This window comes from Homo sapiens, chromosome 1 (genome assembly GCF_000001405.40).
Source record: "Homo sapiens chromosome 1, GRCh38.p14 Primary Assembly".
In the NCBI taxonomy this organism is placed as follows: domain Eukaryota; kingdom Metazoa; phylum Chordata; class Mammalia; order Primates; family Hominidae; genus Homo; species Homo sapiens.
The window spans coordinates 166,921,820-166,946,625 of record NC_000001.11 but is presented as its reverse complement, the minus strand read 5'-3'; the positions used below and the strand labels follow the sequence as shown (position 1 = coordinate 166,946,625).

The 24,806-nt window shown below is 41.8% G+C and overlaps 1 protein-coding gene and 1 long non-coding RNA gene across 17 annotated transcripts in view, besides 1 other annotated feature; one reads left to right on the top strand and one right to left on the bottom strand.

Moving 5' to 3' along the window:
* The window catches only part of LOC124904449 (uncharacterized), a 45,878-nt gene extending 26,423 nt beyond the window's left edge, over nt 1-19,455 (bottom strand). The window contains exons 1-3 of one of the 2 annotated variants that reach the window (XR_007066713.1): nt 19,019-19,455; nt 14,501-14,734; nt 13,014-13,099 (exon numbers count right to left, since the gene is read on the bottom strand). This is a non-coding gene — a long non-coding RNA (uncharacterized LOC124904449). Of the gene's footprint in view, nt 1-13,013; nt 13,100-14,500; nt 14,735-19,018 lie in introns of those variants that run through there. The other variant, XR_007066714.1, reaches the window with a different exon arrangement.
* The window catches only part of ILDR2 (immunoglobulin like domain containing receptor 2), a 79,845-nt gene that overhangs the window by 28,915 nt on the left and 26,124 nt on the right, over nt 1-24,806 (top strand). For 5 of the 15 annotated variants that reach the window (NR_199383.1, NM_199351.3, NM_001438642.1 and 2 more), the window contains exons 4-8: nt 7,056-7,112; nt 9,889-10,035; nt 11,149-11,325; nt 19,446-19,559; nt 23,817-24,033. Coding sequence is in view for 13 of the 15 variants with exons in the window: in NM_199351.3 (NP_955383.1) it covers nt 7,056-7,112; nt 9,889-10,035; nt 11,149-11,325; nt 19,446-19,559; nt 23,817-24,033 (712 nt within the window). In the remaining 2 variants the exon portion in view is untranslated. Of the gene's footprint in view, nt 1-7,055; nt 7,113-9,888; nt 10,036-11,148; nt 11,326-19,445; nt 19,560-23,433; nt 23,526-23,816; nt 24,034-24,175; nt 24,396-24,806 lie in introns of those variants that run through there. The other 10 variants (NR_199384.1, NM_001410891.1, XM_017001254.2 and 7 more) reach the window with 6 other exon arrangements.
* Nucleotides 21,262-21,421: an enhancer, noted in NCBI's record as "active region_2028". NCBI's record gives its function as "activates an Ori minimal core promoter by ATAC-STARR-seq in GM12878 lymphoblastoid cells {active_cell/tissue: GM12878}" and the evidence as "EXISTENCE:reporter gene assay evidence [ECO:0000049][PMID:35858748]".

The window sequence follows — 24,806 nt, the reverse complement described above, 5'->3', positions numbered from 1 at the left end:
TGAAACATAGGGTAGAATATGGACTAGATGACCTCTAAGATCCTTTCTAGTTATAAAATCTGATTCTAGGATTCTGTGGGAATAGAAGTCAGCTCCTTAGGCCAAGCTTATAACTACTGCCAAAAACAAAAACAAAAAACAAAAAACCAACCTCAAAGCATTTATTAACAGTTAATTGTAGATGGTCCAATACTAGTTATTTTATGGATAGAATTCGGTTTCAGAATTATTCTCCTTTAAGACTATAATTTAAAGTGAACTAAAATGTAAAGGACACAGAAAGAAAAAGTAAACATATGAAATGCTTAAGAACATAGTTTATAAATATATATAAAAGAAAAGGGGGCTATATCCACATTTGTGATAGTCATAAACTATATTTATTAAATGCATGGTTACCATGGGAATATAGAATAAAAACTGGGATGTGTGTGCCCTTGGGAAATTTCCAATCTATTTGGGATTCCAAATAGCCATAGAAACAACTTAACACTTAAAAGCATAGCCATAGAAACATCTTTACATTTAAAAGGGCCAGAGAAAGGCATCTGTTCTCCTCAAAGACATAGGAGTGAAACATTTTGGAGGGTTAGGAGATGACAGAACAGGGGGTGGATACAGTACATCCCTGAAAATGGATCTAGGGCATCTGAGGAAAGCTTGAAAGTGGGATGAAGCTGAGATGTGCATTAAACATAAGGGAGAAGAGGGGAACCACACGGAGCTGGGGAAGAAAGGCATTCCTCACTGTCCTAAACAGAAAGTTCATCTGTATAGTGTGTTGGCAAACCCTAGAAGGACTCCAACTTAATAAGTTTAAAGAAATGGAGGTAACTCTGCTGTCAGCAGTGGTGTCATAAAGATAAAGGAAATGTTATACTTCCTTTTCCTAAGTTCCAATGCATTAAACAATGTGTTATCAAGTGATTGAGTAAGCAGGTTCTGAAAACAGGTTTGTCCTAAATCCTGAACTTCTTTACCTTCCATTGTAACTTTGAAGGCTTGGAAATGATTAGAGCTTGGATTTAAGTTTTAAGAGTAGAGACCAAAACAGTCTTTTTGGCTGAAAGTTTTATGTGTTATTTTATCTCTGTAATGACTTCCTCAAAAATACCCTAGGATAACTTCAAAAGTGGCAGTGGCAGAAAACAACTGAAATGGGGAATTTTATAGGTAAGATAGGTAAGTTATTTTATTCACAATGCATATTTCTACCCTGATCATTTAATCCAAAGCGTGTGAATGTGTTTAGCTCTAGAGTTTGTGACAGTATGATATGAAACTGGCACTTGTGTGTGTGCATGTACAAAGTATTAGTATGCCTGATTCGTTTGGTCTATTCAACTTTTTGGTGTGGGATAGGGTGGTGCTTTTGTCTCCTTAGATAGCAAGATGGCATTTGGGGATATTCCAATGACTGGAGAATGCTCCTGGCATTCTTCCCTGAGTTCAGAAGTGTTAAACATTGTGCAGTATATAGAATAATGCTGCATGAATAAATGAATAGTTCTTTCATATTTTCATTAAAAGCCTACTTCCACCTGAGGTTGATAAAGTCACTATAATGCGCAGCAAATCATAAGTCCAGCTAGAAACCCTGCATATTGAACAAGGGGATTTGCTATTGGAAACACTTCAAGTTCCTGATGGGTGGGTGAGGTGCCTCCTCACGCTGGGCTTCTGGAGATGCCAAGCGTAGAGCATAGTCCCTGCTCTGGAGGGGTTTCCATCTTGGTAGTGGAGGCACTCGTAAAAGTAAAGGCACATTGCAGCCACGAGATAACTGCTTTAGTGAAGGCATGTGCAGTGGTCCTAGGGAGCATGGAGGAGGAAGCACCTTCTTAGTGCAGCATTCTTACAGGGCTGTGTCAGAACATATCTCAGTCTTGTGGTCTTTGTGGTAAGGAATTGAACAAAGCAACTGAAATGCTTATCTGAGCAAAGAAAGTAAATCAAGTTTGCTTTGAGGGGGCTAACCTACCAAGAAAAAGGTGTAAAAAAACTTGGGGAAATGCCACTAGGACATAATTTGTTGTGAAATGTGCAAAGACAATGTTCTGAGTAGAAGTGGGAAACCAGGCAAGGACTAGGTCTCCAGGGAAAGGCCCCATGACCAGGCAGAACCTGATGTCAAAAATGCAAAGAGGGCTGATGAAAACTAATTTGGCGGGAAGATTTAATAGTTCTTGTGGCACAGAAGCACATAACTAAAGCTGAGTTCTGTGTGGGCTAGACTGTGAGCCTCTCAAGTGTCTCAAGGGAACACATCTTGTCCCCTGTGTCTCCACCTAGCTAAATATAAATTTCTTTGTTGAATGAATGAATGATGAATGAATAAATGAGAGACATTCCAACAGTGAGCTGGTTTGCAGGAATGTGTACAAAGAGTTCAGTTGAGGATAACTTCAAAAGTGGCAGTGGCAGAAAACAACTGAAATGGGGAATTTTATAGGTAAGATAGGTAAGTTATTTTATTCACAATGCATATTTCTACCCTGATCATTTAATCCGAAGCGTGTGAATGTGTTTAGCTCTAGAGTTTGTGACAGTATGATATGGAACTGGCACTTGTGTGTGTGCATGTACAAAGTATTAGTATGCCTGATTCGTTTGGTCTATTCATGTGGAAATTTCTTAAAAGTAATGGATTCTGCAAGATTTGGGGAAAACTGTTTGAGCGCTTACATAAAAACTGTATTTTCCTCTGATAGTTTGAGCTGTGGTTTGAAAAGAGTAAATGTGGCCTTCTATTTGCAGGGCTTGCTTTCCATCCTTTCCTCAGACATTAAAGTGACTTGTAATTGCCACTCTTAAACTGAATCCTGGAAGAATGACAGCGATTCACAAGTGTTGGTAAAGTGCTGCTGAAATCTGGAATGTATTTACTGCAATTGTTTAGACTCTGTAAGATCAGGCCTTCATTGGATATGATAGAAGAAAAGATAAAGCATTTCTAACTAGCAATAACATTTCTTAGGAATTGTTAGGGAAGAAGCTGGAAGTGGAATATTTTCAGAAATATTCAGCATAAATATTCAGCATAAATCCACTTTTTAAAATGCCTTTAGCTCCAATAAAATATAAGTAATGGTGTAAAAGCTATAGAGCCTTTTTTTTTTTTTTTTTTTTTTTTTGAGACGGAGTCTCGCTCTGTCGCCCAGGCTGGAGTGCAGTGGTGCAATCTCGGCTCACTGCAAGCTCCGCCTCCCGGGTTTACGCCATTCTCCTGCCTCAGCCTCCCGAGTAGCTGGGACTACAGGCGCCCGCCACCACGCCCAGCTAATTTTTTGTATTTTTAGTAGAGACGGGGTTTCACTGTGTTAGCCAGGATGGTATCGATCTCCTGAACTCATGATCCGCCCGCCTCTGCCTCCCAAAGTGCTGGGATTACAGGCGTGAGCCACCGTGCCCGGCCAAAGCTATAGAGCTTTGCACCGTCTCTGCTGTTGACATGATATATTGGTATTGTCTGCTCTCCCAAAACTCCTACTATGTTTTGAATTCTGAAGATATTTAATTTCACCCACTTTACTGCACATATCACCTACACTACCCTGTGGCTAACACTACACAGGTGCATTATGGGAAGGCTTCACCTTCTGAAGCATCAGATATTGACTGTTGCTTCAGGGAGAATGAGAAGCTTGATGTATGTCTTCCTGTTGGAGTGAAAAGCTTTGTGAATCACCTGTCCATATGTCTGATACACCCTTTCCTTATTTTAATTTTTTCCATTACAAAAGTAAAAAAGTCTAAAGTAAAAAAATGCAAGTTCCTTCATTGTTCTTCCATGCTGCTCATTCTAGCTCCCTAGAAATAAGAAGGGCTAGCAATTTCGTGCATAATACTATTGTTTCCAATTTTAATTTGAACATAGGTGACTAGATCTTGTATTTACTGTTATTCTGTGTGTGGAAGTAATGTTAGAACACCATCAAGGTAACCTAAACAGCCTGTGGGGAAATGCAGCTTTGTGTTTTACCATCCCATAAATTTATCTGTGTGTGTATACCCTTCAGAGGTTGCAAACTCATGATTTCTGGGCTCTATGCAGCCTGCAGACATACTGTGTATGGCTCACCCAGTGTTTTAAAAATAATGAACTGGTTGCCAACATTTGAAAATCAAGTTATTTCACATAAAATCTGGGGCCTGGAAAATATTGAAAAATAGGATGATCTGAAACCCTGAAGACACATTTCTATGGGGCCACAAGTGGCTAGAGGTGACTAGTAGCAGCCTCCTGATGACATCTCTAGCTACTCCCTGTTATATTATATCTGGCCAGCTGCACTCATTTGCATTACCTGCTGGTGCCCATAGACATTTGAGTTTTTAACTCCAATCACTGAGTATCAGATTTGGGAACTAAAAGTGATATAGAGTGACCACATAATTAATTGTCCAAACTAGAATACTTTGAGAGTAAAAAGGGGTGCTATTAAAAATTACACCTGGACCATAGGCATAATCCACAACTGTCCTAGACAAACCAAGATAGATGGTCTTTCTGTTTGTAGACTACTCCATTCAACCCCTTCATTTTACTAATGAAAAAACTGAGACCCTGAAAGGGAAAGTAATTTGCCTGTAGTAATCACCAAGTGAAGTAATGATAAAGTTGCCCTGAGTATTCTGACTCCCAGTTCACTGCTTTTTCCGATATAACATGCTCTATATAATATGTATAAGCACCACATCCTCCTTGAATGTATGGATTTTTATAGTTAATTAATTATCACGGTTTGCTATAGGAGCCCACGAATTGGTAGCTTATATCATCAGTGACATTTCTATCATGAATTTAAGTAATGATTTGGATCATAGCATATCCAGAGATGTTTAAAACATTGGTAATCTTGAGAAGTGGAGAGTAAACACTAGCAAAGTTTCTGATTTTACAAGATACACCAAGATATATATTTACAAGTGCTAATTATGCAGATTGAAAAAAACAATAAAAATCCACCATCAAGTACATATCTGATAACTGGATTGCTAAAAAAACAGTATGTATTGACTTCTTGATCATTGATTATTGCCTGGTCTTCAAGAAATCTCCAGGAGCCCAAATTCCCAAATCTTTGACTAGGTGATTATTACCTCGTTGAGTTTCCGAGAGATATTTTTATAGAGAACACTCAGAGGAGACCAATGCATGCTGTCTCTTAATCACTTTCTCAAGCTTTGGCCCCAAATATTTACTAGTTTCCTACCCTAGGGAACTGCGTAAGCCTTAGGGGCATCTCTTAGTCTTTTATGAAGGCTTAGGTCAAAGACTAGCCTGAGAAGACACCTTTTTCCAATGTCCCACTTGACTCCTACTTGTCCTTCCAAGAGACCTTGCAAGCAGCAGAGCAATCTTACCATGTCAGCTGCATGAGATGGGGGACAGAAAGAAGGAAGCTGTATTTGCCAAGGCCAAAAGCAGAGTTGGCCTAAGTCACCCATCCCATACTTCCTTACCTTGGAATATACTCTGGTCCCCATTAGCTTTTTAAATATGGGACCATCACCCACATAGACTAGGACACATGCTACCACACTGGCCTTGTAGAGTTGAGGAGAGCCAAGAAAAAGTGAGCAAAGACCCCTCTACCCTGCTCACTAAATCTTACCCCAGCTCCAGCATACTCCCCTAGTGTCCTGGAGGAGCCCCTTTTTCTTTGACCTTTGTCAGAGCTTCTTTTCTGTGGGTGACTTGATAGAGGAAGGGACAAGTGACCAACCATGACCTTAGATTTAAAATATGAACCACACACATGAGTAAACTTTTCTCTAATGCACCTCAACAAACTTTAACATGAAGGAATTGTTTTCTAAATGAGCCATATCTATATGGATGAAACAGATCACCAGAGCTGTGCTGTCCAATAGCAACATGTGTCTACTAAGTCCTTGAAATGACAATATTTTAGTGATAGTCACATAAGCTAAAAATAGTATCACATTAATTTCCTTTGTTTCTTTTTACTTTTTATTGTACTTCCTGGAAAAGCTAAAATTATCCACATTGCTTGCATTATATTTCTGTTGGCTGGTGCTGTTCTAGAGGTATATGTCAGGTACCTAAATGAAGTAGAATTTAGTTGCGTGTTTAGGTGCTACAGTGACTTTTTACCACCATCACAAGTCTGAAAGGAGGGAAATTTGCTAGTTGTTTATGGTACTACTAGTTTAGAGATATAATGTCAGGGGCAGAAGTTCATAACAGGACTTCACCTTGATATGAGAACATGATGAAAGCATTCATCATGTCTTTCTGTAAATCAGGCTAGTTTTAAAACGGACTAATCTGCTCCCTTATGTCTTCCAGCCTCTTGTTTCCTGCACAGCTCTTTGCTTCCCAGAGTCCTTGAGGGGCACCTGTTCTGAATCCAGCTTTTAAGTTTCTTTGCCATATTACGCAGAAGGCACTTGGGTCCATATAATGCCAGCTGTGGGTGCCATATGGAAAAGCCATACCATCTACATATGTACAGTGTATTTCAGAAGCCAGAAGGAGTGTAGAGGAATGTGTAACTGATCTAGTTTTATCTTTCCCTTGCCTTTGAAAATTTTAATCATTGAAATATCTTTAGGCCACAAATAGAATCATGTAGTGAGATAATTCTGAGTTAAAACCAAATATGTACTTTTGTTTTTATATGGACATAGGACTGTGTATGGATGTATGAAAATGTAGATTGAACATTTGGATACAGACGGGCTTGACTTTCCAATGAAGTGTATGGAGACGGATGTATAAATGAATGGAGATAGTGTATGTCAGTCTGCTCAAGCAGAGATTTCCTCCTCCTATAAATAGTTGGAGAGAAAGTTCTGTTTCTGCTTCCGCTTAGTTTAGGTGCAGAGTTCACTTAGATGGCTGCCAAAGATTGACAGGGAAAGTCATTCTCTTGTCTCAGCCTAGCTTTGGTGATGTGCTTCTCATATCACAAAGAGCATGCACTAATGGCCGCACGTGTGGATGGTACCAACTGGAGCCAGGCTTTAGGCTATGTTTTCCCTTGGAATAACCACTTTCCTTCTTCTTTTCCTTCCACTTCTTCTAGGCAGGACAGGGCTGCTTGCTGATCTCTTGCCCAGTTTTGCTGTGGAGATTATGCCAGGTATTCGGTCATTTAACTCTTTATTTGCTTGATTTGCTGTTATTCCATCTGTCTTGCTTCTGCATTAGTCGCTAATTGCTTCTTTACTTTATTGCCACATTTGTCTATATGTCTCTGATCTTTTCCAGGATTAACTAAACCCATTGGAAGGGCTTTTAAATTGCATTCCTTCTGTTACTAGGCCTTAAAAGAATAATGATAATTAAAAATAGGCTGAGATGGCAACCCAGTCCTTCAGTGTCAGGCATGCAGGCTCTTTGGCAATCTCCATGCCCATTTCAGTATTTCAGCTGTACCCATATACCTAAAAGTATTTTTAATAGAATCAGTATTTATCTGCCTTCCTTATTTCCTAAGTTATATGTTTACTGATTCATTATTGTACAACCATGTTACTCTGAATTGCCTTTTATAACATCATCAAACTTTTTTTTCAAACCTTAGGAAAGCTATGTACCCCTCCTCCCTTGAAAAATACAAATTTGCAGACCTACATTACTTTGTACACAATTTCAGGGACTTATTAGTCCCTTCGAATCCCTATGGGTCCACGGACCATATGTGAAGGACATCTGGGACGAACATACATCTCTGTCTTTTTATGTACCTTCAGTTGAATCCACCAACCTAGACAAGCCAACATCAGTTTGGTACAGCTTTATGGTCTGCAGTTGAGGGAGGCACAGAGAGAAGCAAGAATGAACTGTGGGGAAGAACATATCTAAACTCAAACAGTAGGAAAAGGGATGATTTAGTCTTGTCTTGGAGGGTTTCTGCCAAAGTTTTAAGAGCTGCCTAATAGCAACAGAGATATAAAATATCCCTGGGTATTGGTTTTTAGCTTAATCCAAATTTTTAAAAACATCCAGATTCTTTACCATTGAGCTTCACTAATTATTCGTCTATGAATTCTAGTCCCTTTCCATTAGGTGGCCAACCCAAACACAGACATTCTTTTTACTGATGTTGCTCCCAAGGACACAAATGTATGCCTCTTTGTAATCCCCTTATCCAGAATTCCCTCAATTTGTAAGCATTTGTTCATCACAAAAACAATGTTACATTGCAGTGCTTGAAACTAGATGTTACATGTCCCAGTCTCAAGAAAGAGTTACTGTGTTTTTCATATCTGGCCCCATATGGCTAAATTTCCCTCCCTTTGATTCCAAGAATCCTTTCACAGATAATATTCTTTTGTTTCTCACATATAACTTTCCAGTCTTATCCTTGAATGCTTGACCCAAGTTGTAGCCACCACTTCATACAGCTCATCTAAACCTAAGAGCTCCTATCTATCTCAGGCTATGTTGCATTATTGTGTTGTTACTAAGGCTTAGGCCAAAGCCTTCTGCTATCGATTGTCCTCGGCATGAATGCTCTCTAGGCCACTCCAGCCAGGCACAAGGCCTTCCCATTCCCTCACTGAAGAGATGTTGACCTGTTTAATTTGAATGTATTTCAGAAAGATTAGTGAGGAGGGACATTCAGGAAACATGTTGTTTGTTTCCTCTCTGAGGAAATTATGATCTAAACAAAGTCATTTTGTTAACCATTATTATACAACCCATTATTTAATAAAAATATCATATTCTCAAGCTCCCAGGAATGTCCATTTAATTGAAGGAATATTTGATAATCAAAATCTAAGAAAAACAATGTGTGCTTGAGGTTCATTGTAAAGGGATTTGGGATAGATGGCTTTTAACCAAAATGAATTGCTTTAGTCTTTTTGGCTTTTAAAGGAAAGCATGGCTCTCCCCAGTCTGTCCAGGCCTCCAGGGGAAGTTGGGTCCTGTAGCCAAGTCTCTAAAGTATGATGCTGAGACAAGTCACCTGAGGGCCACAGTAATTTTTATCTAAGCCACTCGCAATTTGTTTCCTTTCTCTTAATCTTTTGGATGGGCAAATGAAATGGAATTCACATTCAGCTTCTGGCAGAGCTGTGAAAGAGGCGGAGTTAACAAACATACCCAGATATACATGTCAGCCTTGCCATTTATCCAAGCTCAGAGCCACTTGAGCCCTTGGCTATGTTGGCTGCCTAGCATGGGCAGCTTGAGTGTGATCAAACCAAACTCATTCTCTGTTCACGGGGACAGTGTCTTCTCTATGGAGACCACGTCTCTAGTTTTCTCTAGCCATGGATTGTTGTCCTGGTATAAGCAAAGAGTTTGGATCTCAGAACTGGTGCTGAGTACAGGAAAGCTGTTCTAGGGACAGTCAGCAGGGAAAGCAGGTGAATACATTACAAAAGGGGCCTGGAACCACCTAACTATAAACTACATCTAGACCCCTAGACATAGAGACTGTTTCCTCAGGACTTAGACTTTTATAGAGAGGATTAACTTGACAAAAATAAAAATAAGTATTCACAGAACCCACCACTTCGTAGCCCAGCAGACAAGGTTCTCCTTCCCCCCAGCCAGGATTCTTTCAGCTCTGGTCCCATCCTTATTCTGATGCTACAGTCAATAGTGTAAATCCTTTCCCCAGTATAGGACTCTGAAATCCCCACATTGTTTTGTGCCGATTATTACATGTACCCAATGTAACATAGATAACCTTCTTCCCTCTTCTCCATTCCCCGGGACTGAGGGTCTGCACTCCTGACTCTCAGAGTTCCTCTTGAGTGTTGGGGCTCTGTCTCCTGTTAAGAGAAGCTTTCTTCCCTAGGTCCCTCCTCCTCTCCCCCTTTCACCGGGAGATGCCAATCAAAGTGCACCCTGCCCTGGAGGTGGGCTGCCTCGAGTGTGGATTTCTTTGTGCATCCTTCCAGAGTGGGTGTTTGTTGGCCTGGTGCTCCTGGGCGTCTTCCTCTTCTTCGTCCTGGTGGGGATCTGCTGGTGCCAGTGCTGCCCTCACAGCTGCTGCTGCTATGTCCGCTGCCCATGCTGCCCAGATTCCTGCTGCTGCCCTCAAGCCTGTGAGTACAGTGACCGCTGGGGAGACAGAGCGATCGAGAGAAATGTCTACCTCTCTACCTGACAGCTGTGTGCGCTGGGTTCCTCCTCCACCTCCTGTCCTGCCACCCCCAAGATTGGTCATTCCAGACTCTTCTCCGCTGGGTGCCCCTGGCCTCAGGGATGACCATTCTCATTTGCCTTTTCACCTACATACACCTCTCCACACTTCTTATCCATATCTATCACTCCATGCATTTGGAATTCTCATGGACACTATTGATAAAATGGAAGGGCAGGTTTGGCGTGGTGAGGTTGTGGTGTAAGACTGTTCCCTCTCCCTGGGGCATTCAAACTAGAGGAAACCTTCTCTGGTCGTTCCCTTCCCATGCAGAGAAGTTCCTTTTTATATGAGAAGAGTGTGCAAACTGTGGCCTTTGGGCACCCACCCAGCCACAGATTTGTTTTATTTACTCCCATGATGACATGGGCCACAATAGGGCCTAGTTCTTATTTGAGGATTCACAATTTTTACCTTACTGGCCAAGCCCATATAGACATTAAGTTTGGTACCCCTCCCATAAACCAAACACATCTTGAAAGAGAGAGGCACACCAGTTATCTTTAGTGTCTTCAGGAATAAAGCAGTTTCTAGGAAGACTCAGGTTATTTGCTCTGCTTTTGAAATCACAGAGCAAGGACCATGTGCAAGCCCATTACTTGCTTTCCTTCTCAAGAGAAGGTTCAGGATCCTCCTTGAAGCAGCCCTGGGCAGTCCCTGTGCTAGGCTGCCTCCAGAGGGGCCGAGGCAGCCTCCAGACAGTGTGGGTAAGAGTGGGCTGCTGCTGTCACTGGGGATGCTGCTGTGACAGCTCCCAGAACCACTTAATTATTTAGTTGCCAGGTACTAAACATTGTAATTCCTTTTGTCGTTGCCGTTTGGTGGAGCTGGAGAGTCCGAGGGAGTGGGGGAGAGTGATTCTGATGAATCAGTTCAGTTTTAGAAGAACAAACGCTCACACATGCACATACACACATCCAGGAGCTCCCTGAAGTGCATCCTCAGGGATTTTTGGTGTGAGGGTTGTGGAGGGTGGGACGACGTAATCTCTCTTGCTCTTGATCTCCCTCCACAGTGTATGAAGCAGGGAAAGCAGCAAAGGCCGGGTACCCTCCCTCTGTCTCCGGTGTCCCCGGCCCTTACTCCATCCCCTCTGTCCCTTTGGGAGGAGCCCCCTCATCTGGCATGCTGATGGACAAGCCGCATCCACCTCCCTTGGCACCAAGTGACTCCACTGGAGGAAGCCACAGTGGTAAATGTAGTTCCAGACTGCCCTGCCCATGCTTGTCTCGGGCCCCCACAGTGGTTCCTTGTTGTTAAGAACAGTCAGTTCAGTGATGTGTCTTTGGAAAATAGTTTTCTCTGTTCCAGAAATGGGATCCTTCCAGCTATGTCAGATATCTTTTAGGGTACATTCATGCTTTCCAAAGGCTGCAGGACATTGCTGACCCCTGCCTCCTCCCTAGACTCCTCAATTACTAGAACTGTAAGAAAAGAGACAAGATATCCCTTGAATGTTGATTATTCAGTTAGCAAATAGTTGTTTCATCCCTACCTACAGGAGTCCACTACTACTGTGAGGGCCTGCAAGAAGTGTAGGACATGGTTTCTCTGACAAGCAGCATGGCCTGGTCAGGGAGAGAACGGACCTTTATTAGGATAATCAGATGCTAAAGAGTATGCTAAAGACAATCAGTTCAAAGAAGAAAGAACTGGACTGGTCACAAAATCTTCAGGGAGGAGGTGAAATTTGAGCTGAGCCTAGAGGAATGAATAGGATTTAGGAAAGCACATTCAGGGGATGCTGAGCACCCCAAGTGGGAAGGTCAGCGTGATGAAATCCCAGAGCTGGGAGAACACAGTGTGAGTATGTGACAGTGTCCAATTTGTCAGATTGACTGGAAGAAGGTAGAAGGATACGACGGAGCCAGACTGGGGAGGGCCTTGAAACCCCTCCAGAAGATCTGGGGCTTGGTGTGAGAGCCACTGTGGGCAGGCTCCTGAGGGCAGAGGTGGCACCATGACAAAGGGAGTGGCAAGTGGGAGACAGTAGAGCCAGAGACCATGAGCTAAGGTGTGGTTGAAGTGGTTGAGATATGTGAGCATCTAGATTATGATGGAGACAATGGGAGTGAAATGTGTGGGTAAAGCTGAGAGACACTGTGAAAGAAATAATGAGATATTGCGGAATGAAGGAAAAGGAGGCTTCAGGATGACCCCAAGTTGTCTAGATCATAGATCATAAGACAGAATTGAAATAAGTGGTAAGGAGAGCTGATTTAGCTGAAGGTTAGCCCCATTTGAGGCACTATTAATTTGTGGTTATAGGCAGGGGTAGGTAGGAGGTATAGGTGGAGGGGCAGGGTAGGGTGGAGAGGTGGAGGGGCATTAAAATATAGCTCTTCTTGAGGCATTTGAACAGGATTACAGGGCAGTGAAGCTTAGGATTGTATGTGCTATAGATTTAGAAGGTGATTTTTAAATCCCTAGATGTAGATGAGCCGCTGGAGTTGGTAAAACAGACATTTCTTCCCTGGAGGTATCTTGACTGCCTCCATTGTGAAGTGGGGAAGGGTATCTAGCCCACCTAATGAGCTGCCAGTGCCTGATTGTAGAATGAGTGGCTATCCTCAGTGAGTAATTAGGATTTGTATTTTTCTCTCCCAGGAGCTATTAGTAGAATTCTGACATCTGATACAGAATGAGTCACAGACTGAGAAGTAAAAGTTAATGATCAGTGACACACAGATAATTAGAGAAATAAAGACGATGTAGTCCATTTCCATGAAAGATGAAGTGGGCAAAAGAGACATTAGTGGAACTTATCTCATACTCTTTGTCTTTTTTCTAATCTTTCTTCCCACCAGAATCCTTTCCCCCTTATTTTTTAATGGATTATCTAATAAAACTGTTCTTATTCATAGAATAGCAAATACTTACTCTCTGTCATTTTCTGTCTTTTTCCAGTTTCTCTTTGTTGCAGTTCAACCATTTTGGTCTCATTCTGCCATACTAACCAATTGTAACTAGAAGTGGCATTAAAATAGAAATGTCAAGGTAAGGTAGTTCCAGGGTTGGTTAATAGAACAGTTCAGGTGGCAGCCCTGAAGGACCTAGTTCCTCTGTCTTTTCTTCTGTTATCCTGAGCACATCCTCTGTCCTCCTCAGCTGGCTTACCTCATGATCTCTTGATGACTGCATAGTTCCAGGTAATTAAGCAAATTCAGAGATTGAAAGTGGTATTCTCTTCCTTGTATCACTTTTCTCAAGAGTGAGAAAAACTTTTCCAGCAGACTTTCCCTTTTAGTTTTATCAGCAAGAATTGGGCTCTTGCCCATTCATAAACAAAATTGGCTTGAACTACTCAAGATGCACCTCTTAGGCCTAAACAACTATTTACTTTGGAAGTGAACAAAATCACGGTTCTGTTAGCAAGGAAAAAGAGGAAGGGTGGCAATCAGTGTCACCGCAGCTAGTCTGGCCCATGCTGTCATGGTCTGGCTGGTGGAGCCAGGACAGACTTCTTCATGATCCTCACCAGGCATGCTTCTGTACTCATGGTCCCATGGGGAGTGTTAGTGATAGTGTTTGGCTAGTCCTCCTTTAGCAAAGGTGGCTTATGCCAGTGTTCCATGTAGATTATTCTTTAAAGAACATTAAAAATGTTAAGAAATGTTAATTTACAAAAATGTCAATTTAGCCTATTTTATATTTATATACTACTTCAATTTTAGGGTAATTATTTCACAACAGTAATTTTTCAGATTACATTTGTACACAATAGTCTTTTGAACAATGTGTGGTTGAAAAGGGCATCTTTGATGAACTATGTATAGTATAGCCAGTTGGTTCCTGAATGGAAGAGGTAAGAGGCACTCTAGTTCCTTCTCCCATTCTTCAAGGCAGCTACTTGAGACCTTGTTACCATGCAGGAAGACTGCCTGCTCCTGTGCTGCTCTGGATCCATCCCTTTAAGCTTTGTCAAGGCTCTCTCTGTGTTGAACACCCACACTCCGCCCTGTTCCCACCTCACATCTCCATTCTTTTCATCTTTAGTGACTCCTTCCTGTCAGCATTCAAAATATGCTAAAGTCTCTCCCATTAAAATACAACAATTCACAAAAATCCTGTGGTCCTCAGATGTTGCTTTCCTGTCCCTTTACTCTTCTTCACAGCCAAACTCCTTGAAAGAGTTTTGAATATTAAATGTTTCCTTTCCCTCTGCTCTCACCAACTCCCCAGCTCCCTTCCATCTTGCTATTGCTTTCACCATTCCAGAAACCAGCTCTTGCTAAGATTGTCTGATTGCTAAATTTAATGGATCCTTTTCAATCATTACCTCCTTTGACTTCTCAAAAGCATTTGCCACTCTGAGGCGCTCATCTTTCTTTGCCTTTCTCAGCACTGTACTTTGTAATTTTTCTTACCTATCTCTGTGTATGCTGGGTGTTCTTCCACTGTACATCCTCCAGATGTTCCTGTTTTGTTTGAGGTCCTCTCCCTGGGAAACCTTATTCACTCCTGTGGCTTCAATCATCATCTATATGCTGATGACTTCTGATCATTATCTCCAGCCTCTCTTTTGCTCCTCAATACCGTATATCCAACTGTCTTCTGGACATCTCCACCTGGGTGTTTTGCAGGCATTTCAACCTCAGCCCCTAGGAAATTGAATTAATCTGCTGCTTCTTCACTTCGAACCAGCTTCTACATATCTTATCTCAGTGGATGGCATTGTTGTCCACCTTTTAGCCCAAACCAGAAGCAGAGACTTCATCCTTATCCCTTCCTTCTCCCCCACTTCCCTCATCCAATTGGTCACCAAGTCCTTTAGATTGTAACTCAAAATAACCTTGAGTTGGTTTCCTTTTCTCCATCTCTACTGAAACTGTCCTAGTCCTTGCTGCCATTACCTCCCACCTTGCTTAACACAATCATCTCCCACCTGGTCCTTCCACATCTACTCTGCTTTGCTCTAATCCATTTTGTTTCCACATCTACCTGTCCTCCACCCATTCTTCATGCAAAAGAATTGAGTAGGCAAGTAGGGTTTTGAAATGTCATTTTCAAAATTAATAAGGATGTGTATCTATATATATGCCTACTGTATGTATACAGAGAATATGCAAATTTTAAGAATCACTTCTCCCACAGCTGAGCTGCTGTCACCTTGGGGGTGGAATCTGGCAGCTGTTCCATCATCCATAAACAGCTTTACTTAGCTTATTAAGATAGGACAGGAAGAACAAGGCTATATCCATGAGTATCTGCCTCGGAGACTTCTTTTGCAAGTTTTACAAGTTGGATTTTGGCTGTAATGAGGAAATTAGCTGAAAACTACCTAAACCTTAATTGGGTCAAAAGTATCAGCAAAAATCCTTTAACAATAAGAATTTTTAAAATTATAGTTTGGCATCAAAGTGAATATCCCAATATCCCCTCTCCAAAAATTGAAGTTGGCAAGGCTAATAAATTAGAGGAGGTGAAGTATGAAGAGCCACAGCAGCCAAATGACTTGGGCCAGACTGAACTTGAAAACAGATAAATCATCCATCAATCTTAAACTGAAACATCACTGGGGAAAAAGGTCATTTTCCAAATATGCTGAACTTTGGCCAATAGTCTAGGACATTTCTTATTAAAACATCACCATACGTCCCAGAGAGTTCTGTGATCTTCAGACAAATTACAGATAAAAATCAATCTGACACCATGCTATTTGCTGTCAAATCAAGAAAAATTTAATGAACGCTAACAAATTTTACCTGCCGTCAAGGAATGTACAGTCTACCAGGTGGTTGCTGGGGCTTGTAAGTGGAAATAAAATGAGTAAGTAATACAAGGCAGTATAAGATTGATCCATAATGCCAGCTCAGAAAGGAAAATCTCATCCTTGGAGAGGAGGGACCAGGAAAGGTTTTCTGGTGTTTCATATGCTCCTCAGAATGTATGTGACATAGAGCCAGATTCTACCAGGATCAGAGAATAGTTTAGTATATTTGAACTTGTAGCTTATCATTTTTAAAAAGTCCAATAGCTTTTAGAAGGAGAATTGCCCAGGTTTTTAGCTACTGAAACCAAATGGATGATACTCCTAAAGTCAAAAGATCAATACTTTGCCTCTGTCTTTTTTGACAAATTAGAGGAATTTAGATTTCTGAAGTCATGGGCTGCTGTGACTAAGAAGTCAAGGCTGAAAGTATCTGGTACAGTGGAGTCTCTTTATAATGCCAGCACTGAAGGCAAAACTATCATCTTCATTTGAGGCTATAAATGGTTACTGTAACTTTTCAGGGACATGATAACCTATGCATACACAATCAAATCTGTATCATAATGAGGAGTGTAATTTGTTATAATGACATAGAAAACTATGCTCTAGTCCAAGTGGCAATTAACTGAGGATCCTCCAGCTGCTTCTCAGGGTGGCAGCCATCTCTCACCGACCATGTCTGTCTGCCAGGGCACAGCTGGTACATTGTTCCATATAGCAACAACTTTATGGGCCCCCTCCCCCATGACCTCTAGTGCAGTATCACTGAATGTTTACCATAACAGTGCTTCAGAAATTAGAACACCTAGATAAAACCACAGCTCCAGGTAGGGTAGGCCCTTTTCATAATGCATACAGACATGCTAGTTTTCCTTAAAAAAATTAATAATAATAATAATCATGATACCCAGACTTTTCTACGATCCAAGCCTTTCCCTTCCTGATCAAAATTCTCCAATAAACCGCCCATATGGCCTCATCTGCTATATGTTGTAGTCTCTTATAATATGGTTTCTATTCCCAGTTTCTCCTCATTCATTCACTCATTCCTTCATTCATTACAAACACACATATTTCAAATGTCTACAATGTGCCAGGCTCTATGCTAGGTGCTGGGGATACAGAAGCGAACCTAGTCCTTGCTCTCAGGAAGTTTGCAGTCTAGAGGGGAAAACTCTACTGAAAATGCACTTCTCAAAGAAACCATTAACCCTGCCCCAATTCCCAGGCTGACAGCAATGCAACGAACATTTTTTAAGTTCCCCACTATGTGTAAAGCATGGTTTTAGGCACATGGAGATCCAGAACCATAAGGATTCTTTTCCTTCAAGAATCTTTGAGAAGATTAGACATTTATACAGATAACTTGAAACAAACTAGAATATATTAAGGGCCATAATAAAATTCAAACTGAATGATTTGTAAGTTAGAGAGAGAGACAGAACTTTTCAAGCTATGAGAATCAAAGAAAGCCCTTTGGCTGAGGCAGCATTTGAGCAGCTCCTGATAATGATAGAGAACTCAAAGTGCTCCACTGATTTGGTCTTAGTTGTCCTCTCATCTTTAAGAGATTATTTAAAGGTTGGCAAGTATTCATTGCATTTTATAGACATGAAAACTGAGTCCTACATAGGTCACCATTTCTTTGAGGTCCCTCAATAAATAGCACTGCATGCCTACACAATGCCCAGTTCCCCACTTCCCAGGCTGGAGTCTCATCCATCAGACATAACTGCCTCCAGAACAGACATAGCAGTTCTGTGGGATAATTGCATTTTAATTGAACTGTCTGTACGACTCAGTAAATGCCTTTGTAGAGATGGAAGAATGTTTAGCTTGATAAATAAAATTATTTCTGCTAATCATTGCTTCCACACAAGGATTATGGATCTAACCTCTGGGAGAAAGTGCCACTAAAAAGTGTGTGCTGAGATTCATTAATTTTTTTTCTAAGTAATTCCACAATTTGAGATGAATGTGGACTGCCCAGTATATTCTCATATAGAAAATCGGTGCACCTGCAAATGGGTGTGTGGGTGACTTCTGTTTTTAGTGCTTGGACTACAATTAGAGTGCTATGGAATTTTATATTTTAATCTTCCATGTAAATAGCTTGCGTGGGAGGGTTTTGTCCGCAGCCAGGGTAACATGGCCAGACACTATACAGCAGGGTTTTCTCTGAATTTACATGCAGTCATATGGTTTCTTTATGGTGTTTGCCCCACTTTGGGAACAGGGAATGCTGGAGTTAGGTCACTAGCTTACATCCCATTGAAAAGTCCTTAATAGCTGGAATATAGGACCATGCTGTGCAGACCATACAACCCATGGCATAGCTAAAGCAGTTCTTACTCTGGGCTTTCCTTCCTTGTTTTTCTCACCTGTCTCTTCTCACTACCTCTCTTCTTAGACTCTAGAGAGGCAAGATGCCCAAATATGGTTAAGCTTCCATCAGACTACATGGTTCCAGCCCTGGCACTGCTAAATTTTTCCTGGGCAAGTTATGAAACCCCTCTGACCCAAAATTTTCTCAAACATAAAATGTGGCTGATAACAGTACTGTTTTAGGTGGTTCTGAGGAACAAATGTCCATGTAAAGCATTTAGCACAGTACCTAGCACATTTTCAGTGCCCAGTAAGTACTGACTAATTACCATTATTTTTCAGTACCCATCCCATCATTCCCTTCTCTCTTTCGTTTTTTCCTCTTTCTCTTATCTGTAAATTAGGCCCACTGGTATCTATCACTCTTGGGGCTGGTATTGGGCTAGACTGATACTTAAGTGATATGGGGCTTAAACAGCCTTTGTCTCTGACAATATGAGTGATAGAGATGTAGGAGATGTTCTCTCTCCTGCTTTAGTTTTGTTTTTTATTAAGCCCTGAAAATAACAGCTGCTTGTAACCACATCGCAGCAGGTCAAATTAATCATGTCTAAAACACAGTATTCCTTCTCCTAAAAGGAAAATGCTAAAGAAATGAAATGGAACCATAATTAAAAATCCACATAGTTTGAATTTTGTTTTGTACTACTATGTATATGGTCTAGAAATTAATATTAGCTCTTATACACAACTCAGTTTAAGGAACTTTTGCATTATCTCCTAGGCAACTCAAAGCTTTCAGGCCAACTTTGTCAAGGCCCTTGATGTTTGAGTATCTGTAAGTTACCTGTGCTCTCACAAAGTGAAGGTGGGATCCTCAGATGCTAGAGTGACGCATGTCCTCAATCTAGAAAGTGGTCTTTTTTTAGTGTGAATATGCTCCTCCAATGGAACGCAAAAGCGCTGAGAAGATGAGCACTAAGTGGAGCTGTAAGAGGTCAAAAGATAGGAAGCAGAAGTTAACAAATGACTAAAAATAGACTGTAATGGAATTTTGTTGTTGACCTTTAGGTCCTCCATTCCAGTGGCGCCATCTGATAAAGGGGATCACAGATATGGTCCCATATGTATAAATATAGATCGTTATTTCTGGGTGATTTCAAAAAGAGTTGTTATAATTGGAAACCCTATTTTCTACTTGGTAAAATAAATGGAGGCCTCCTTCTCCTGATATTTTCCTTTTTCAGCTCACCTTCTTGTGCTTTTCTCAACAGTTCGCAAAGGTTACCGGATCCAGGCTGACAAAGAGAGAGACTCCATGAAGGTCCTGTACTATGTTGAGAAGGAGCTGGCTCAGTTTGATCCAGCCAGAAGGATGAGAGGCAGATGTGAGCATCTGTTAGTTTTCTGTGATCTGTGCATTATGCAGGAGTTAGTGTGTAAAGGGGATTTGGGGGTCACCAAACTTGGGCAGCCCTGAGCTTGCAGGCTTAGAATTAGCAGGGGTGCTGGTGACACTACTGAAGAAAGTAGCTCTCAGTACACAGAGGGGAAAAAAAGGTCTTCTGGTGTGAAGAGTAGAGCAATTCGGTAGCATCTTGGTTTATGTTGGTTTTCTCCATGGGGCAGTCAGTATTTCTGGGGCTGTGTTATCCATGCCCCATGGATAGAACCAACATTCTTTGAATATATTTTATTCAAACTTTCTTTGAATAAAGAACCAACTTTCTTTGAATATATTTTAAAAGGAGTAGAAGGGAAAGACTATTTTAATAAAGCATTCCAAATAGTCTTTCCCTTCTACTCCCTTTAAAATATATTCAAAGTAATGTCTTAAGATGTGGAAGCTTAAGTATCAGTTTTTTCCAACGTGAAGGGTGCTAGCCTTGGATAATACAACCACCAACTCGCTGCATGGAGGCCTCCTGAAAGTGAAAGAACAAGTCTGGCACGTGAATCTGGAAAAAAGGTTGTTGCTCCTCGAAGATGCCAAACAACAGAGATTAAGGGGCAAGCAAAGAGGCTGATCCTCTTGTCAAAAGAACTTTTTGAATACTAAGTCTGAGGTGGCCGGGCCCCAACCCTTAACTCACCCCCAGCCCTTGGATACTCTGCAGCTGACACAGCTGATTCTTGGGGTGGATTCCAACTTATGTATCATGGGAGGTAACATAGGGCAGGTCCCACATGGACAGGCTCATTATCAGAGGGTGCTGGCGGGTGTGGAAGTGAGGTCATTATGCTGTCTCTTTACCCTCCTCTTCTTGGAACTAACGAGAGACTTGACGGAATTGTTGGGGAAACAGTCCCAGACTAGAAGAGCTTTATTCAGATTAAGGACAACATATTCCACCCAGTTTGCAATTCTAAATTCATCCTGTCTGCGTTGTATCCATTGCTGTATCCTCCCACCACACCGACTATAAAAAGACCATTTCCAGATTGGAATGTCAGGAATGCAGATGTCACTGCACTTGACAAGCTAGTTGTAACAATGTTGTCATGGATCCCTGTAAGGGGCCAGAGACAGAGTGAGTCAGGGACCACAGAGGAGTCTGTGCAGGAAATTTGCGAATCTCACAGCTCAGAGAAAAAGTTAACAGCTAAGGTTAAAACTAAAGGAAGAATTCTGGTTTAGGTGATGTCTCCTGTCTCTCTACTTCATTAAAATGGTCTCTAGGGGCTTAATGGTCATAAGGTAATGGACTCTTAGAGTCAAAGGGGGTCTTAGAGATGGCCTAGGTTAACCTTTGTAGTGTGCAGGTGAGGAAACAGAAGCCTAGGGATGCGGTGACACAATTAGGACCAGATTCCAGCTCTTCTGATTCCCAGTCCTGTGGTCTTTCCAGAAGAAACTCTTGGGCAAACTGTGGATGGCTCCATGGCTGTAATGTGGATGGCTCCATGGCTCCATTCTGTTCAGAGACCACAGCCTTCTAGCTAGTAGGACTTTAGAATGTCAGAGCTGGAAGGGACTCTGAGGTTGTTGAATCCGTCCCCTTCACTAAGGTAGAAAGGGAAAGTAACAAGCACCAGTACTCAGTGCCAGTGCCAGAACTGGAACCCTGATCTCCTGGAACCTGCAAGTTAATATTATAACAACTGCATAGAGATAAAGTAGGAATACTGTTTACTTTGAGAAGTCCTGTTCCTGAAGAACATAGTAAACCATGGGCTGGATCATGGAACTGGGCAATCTTGAAATCTCATTATAAAATGGATCTCATGGTTTCAGGTTGGGGCAGGAGAGTAACAGATTCTGTAAGAATTGAGTTTGAGGTCCAGGCTCATGAATTTGCTAGCCAGTATGGTCCTCATTTGCTTTGCCCTTCTAAATGGTGGGGGTTGTTTAGGGGATGTTTTTAGTCTGGGAAGTTCTAGTATAGGGCTCAGCAAACTATATCTCCTGGGCCAAATATATTTCACTTCCTTTTTTTTTGAGACAAGGTCTTGCTCTGTCACCCAGGCTGGAGTGCAGTGGCGCAAACACAGCTCACTGCAGCCTCGACTTCCTGGGCTCAAGGGATCCTTCCACCTCAGCCTCCCCAGTAGCTGGGACCACAGGCATGTGCCACCATGCACAACTAATTTTTTAATTTTTTATAAAGATGAAGATCTTGCTATGTTTCCCAGGCTGGTCTCAAACTCCTGGGCTCAAGCAATCCTCCCTCATTGGTCTCACAAAGTGCTGGGATTATGGGCATGAGCTACCGTGCCCAGCCCCACTTCCTATTTTTATAAATAAAGGTTTATTGGAATATAGCCATGCCAATTCACTTATGTTGCATCTATGACTGCTTTCATGCTACAGTGGCAGAATTGAATATTTGTGCCAGTATGGCTTGGAAAACCTAAAATATTTACTCTCTGGCCCTTTACAAAACGAAGTTTGCTTACCCCTATCCTAGAGTTACATTGTGGATGTCTGTGAGATGGGGGCAGGTCGATGTTTATGTTCAACTTGGCAGAAATTTTAGCACAATATACAACTTAGACAATCCATCACTGTGAATAGTGAAACATAGATCGTCCTCATTATCTAGATAAATAAAAAAAATCAAGTATTCCCTGAAGTTTAAGGAAAGTTCTGAGCCAACAATGCTATTTTTCAGTAGGGTCATTTGGTGCATTTTAAAGGCCTCTTCTGTGTGATCCCTGGGATACTGGAATTCATGGGGATCATGAGAAAGGAAAAGTTCTAGATTTTATTAATCAATAGTATCTGAGTTATTTTCCTTAAAATAGGCATAGTCCCTTCTTCTTAGATGGAAGAAAAGGTTAAAAATTAAATTATAATTAAAAATCAACTGATTGCATGATAAAATTGAATGGCATTCGTGGTAAACGCTCTGCCCCTGGTGAAACAGAACTAGGAGGCTGTGTTGGGAGACCCTCCCTCATCTTTGTGCAAAAATCCCGTTCCTCCAAGGACTCTTGGGGATAGCAAGGGGGGAAAGTAGAGGGAATCTGAGACACATATTTCCACATCTTATCTTGGCCCACCTCTCACTCAACAGCTAGGCCTGAAATTTGGTAAATGTTGTTTTTGATAATATTTTGAAGTTCTAATTAAAGGACTTTAGAAAACCAATGGATTCAGTTACATTGCAAATAGATTCAGTAGATTTATTTTTTAAGTACAATGAAATTCAATACATTTCAAAGTTTTATAAATAAATAGTTGAGTTTTTGTTTATTTTTTCCTTTCCAGACTGTGATTCTGGTCCTTGTTCACAAGTGCTTTTGCAAAAAGCTACTTAGGCCACTTTAGGAAATTAGAAAGCTGTGACTAGATACCCCCATTTGTATTTTTGGGCTGGGGCCAGAGTATAAGTAGAGGCCCACAGGTATAAGTACAGCACACCCTCCTCTTCTTTCCATACTTCCAAAATGCTGGCCTAGCCACTCATGGACACATACCCCTGGAAAACTTTTTTGGGAGAGGGGAAGAGGTCTGCCCAAGTGCTGGAAGTAGGCTTGGTGCTACTTGAGCAGGATCTTCCAGGTTCCTAAATGAGCATGGGCTAAGTCAGGGGGTATATGGATACTAGGTACAGGTTTCCCCTTGACTATTCAACTATTCTGTGGACTTCCTGCTCTGTGGGGAGGGGCACAGCCAAAGGAGGCCAGAATGCAGTGCCTCTACAGCATATGGCAGTACTGGCTCTGAAGGTCCATCTTAGGACTGGGCCAGCAGTAAGGAAGATGCTGTGATCTATGGCTTCTGTCTCTCTTTTTCTGTTTTTGGCTTAACATGTCTAGGATCAACACAGCTCATCACAGAATTATAAAGGAAGAAGAAAACATTTGAACAAGGATGATGATGTACTAGGAGGAGGCCAGCAACAGAGATCCTGAGTTCTGGAAAGCCTGCCTTAGGTGCAACAATAACAAACTTGTTCTCCTATTCCAAGAACAGAGCATGTAGGAACCTCCCTCTCTGTAAGCAAGTAGGCTTCAAACTGGAGCCAATGCCTGCTGAGCTAAGAATACAAACACCACTAGTTCAGGCTTACAACCCACCCTGGACAGCAATGAGGCAGGAGTTTCCTGGAGCCTAGGGTCTCAGCCCTTAACAGGATTCTCTTCCTGTCTAAAACAGAGTAACACAAAAAGCTCTATCATGCCTGATTTTGTCCCTGCAGATAACAACACCATCTCAGAACTCAGCTCCCTACATGAGGAGGACAGCAATTTCCGCCAGTCTTTCCATCAGATGAGAAGCAAGCAGTTCCCTGTGTCTGGGGACTTGGAGAGCAATCCTGACTATTGGTCAGGTGTCATGGGAGGCAGCAGTGGGGCAAGCCGCGGGCCCTCAGCCATGGAGTATAACAAAGAGGATCGAGAGAGCTTCAGGCACAGGTGATGGCTGTGAGGGGCAGGTCTGGTCGGTGTGAGGGGGCAGGAGCTGGAAGGCAGGGTAGATCGGAGGCAAGGAAGATGCCATCCAGTAGCATCTCTGTCTCCCATTCCAGGTTATCCTGACACATCTCTCTTTCTACAGGATATTGAACATCTCACATTTGTCAAGACAGGGAACACTTGTGACAACATGTGTAGAAGTAATTATTCAAGACCTTTGAAATGGGTCCCCTAGACCCTTTAATGAACATTAATATATCTCTGCCCTTCTCATATATTTTATCCTATAACCTCTACAAAATCCCACCCATCATCTCCATCTTTTTTTTGTTTTTTTCGGTAGAGACAGGGTTTTGCCACGTTGACAGACTGGTCTTGAACTCCTGAGCTCAAGCGATCCACCCACCTTGGCCTCCCAAAGTGCTGGGATTACAGGCATGAGCCATCATGCCTGGCCATCTCCCTCATTTTTGATCATTTAGTATATGAAAGGTAAAATGCCAAACACTTCTCTTACATTTAATTCTCATAACTCTAAAGGGCAGCTACTATTAATGCCCCTATTTTAAGCTGGGAAAATGGAAACTTCTAGGTGCTAAGGCACTTACCCAGGTGATGTGGCCTCCCACAACAATTGTGGGAGGCTAAGATTTGCTATTCCCCCTAAATAGCACCTTCACCACTCATCTGTCCTTTACCTTAAAAGACAGTGAACATTGCCTTTCCCTTACAAATTGCAAGTGTCCTTCTCCCCTCCTGCCCCAGTAGGTAAC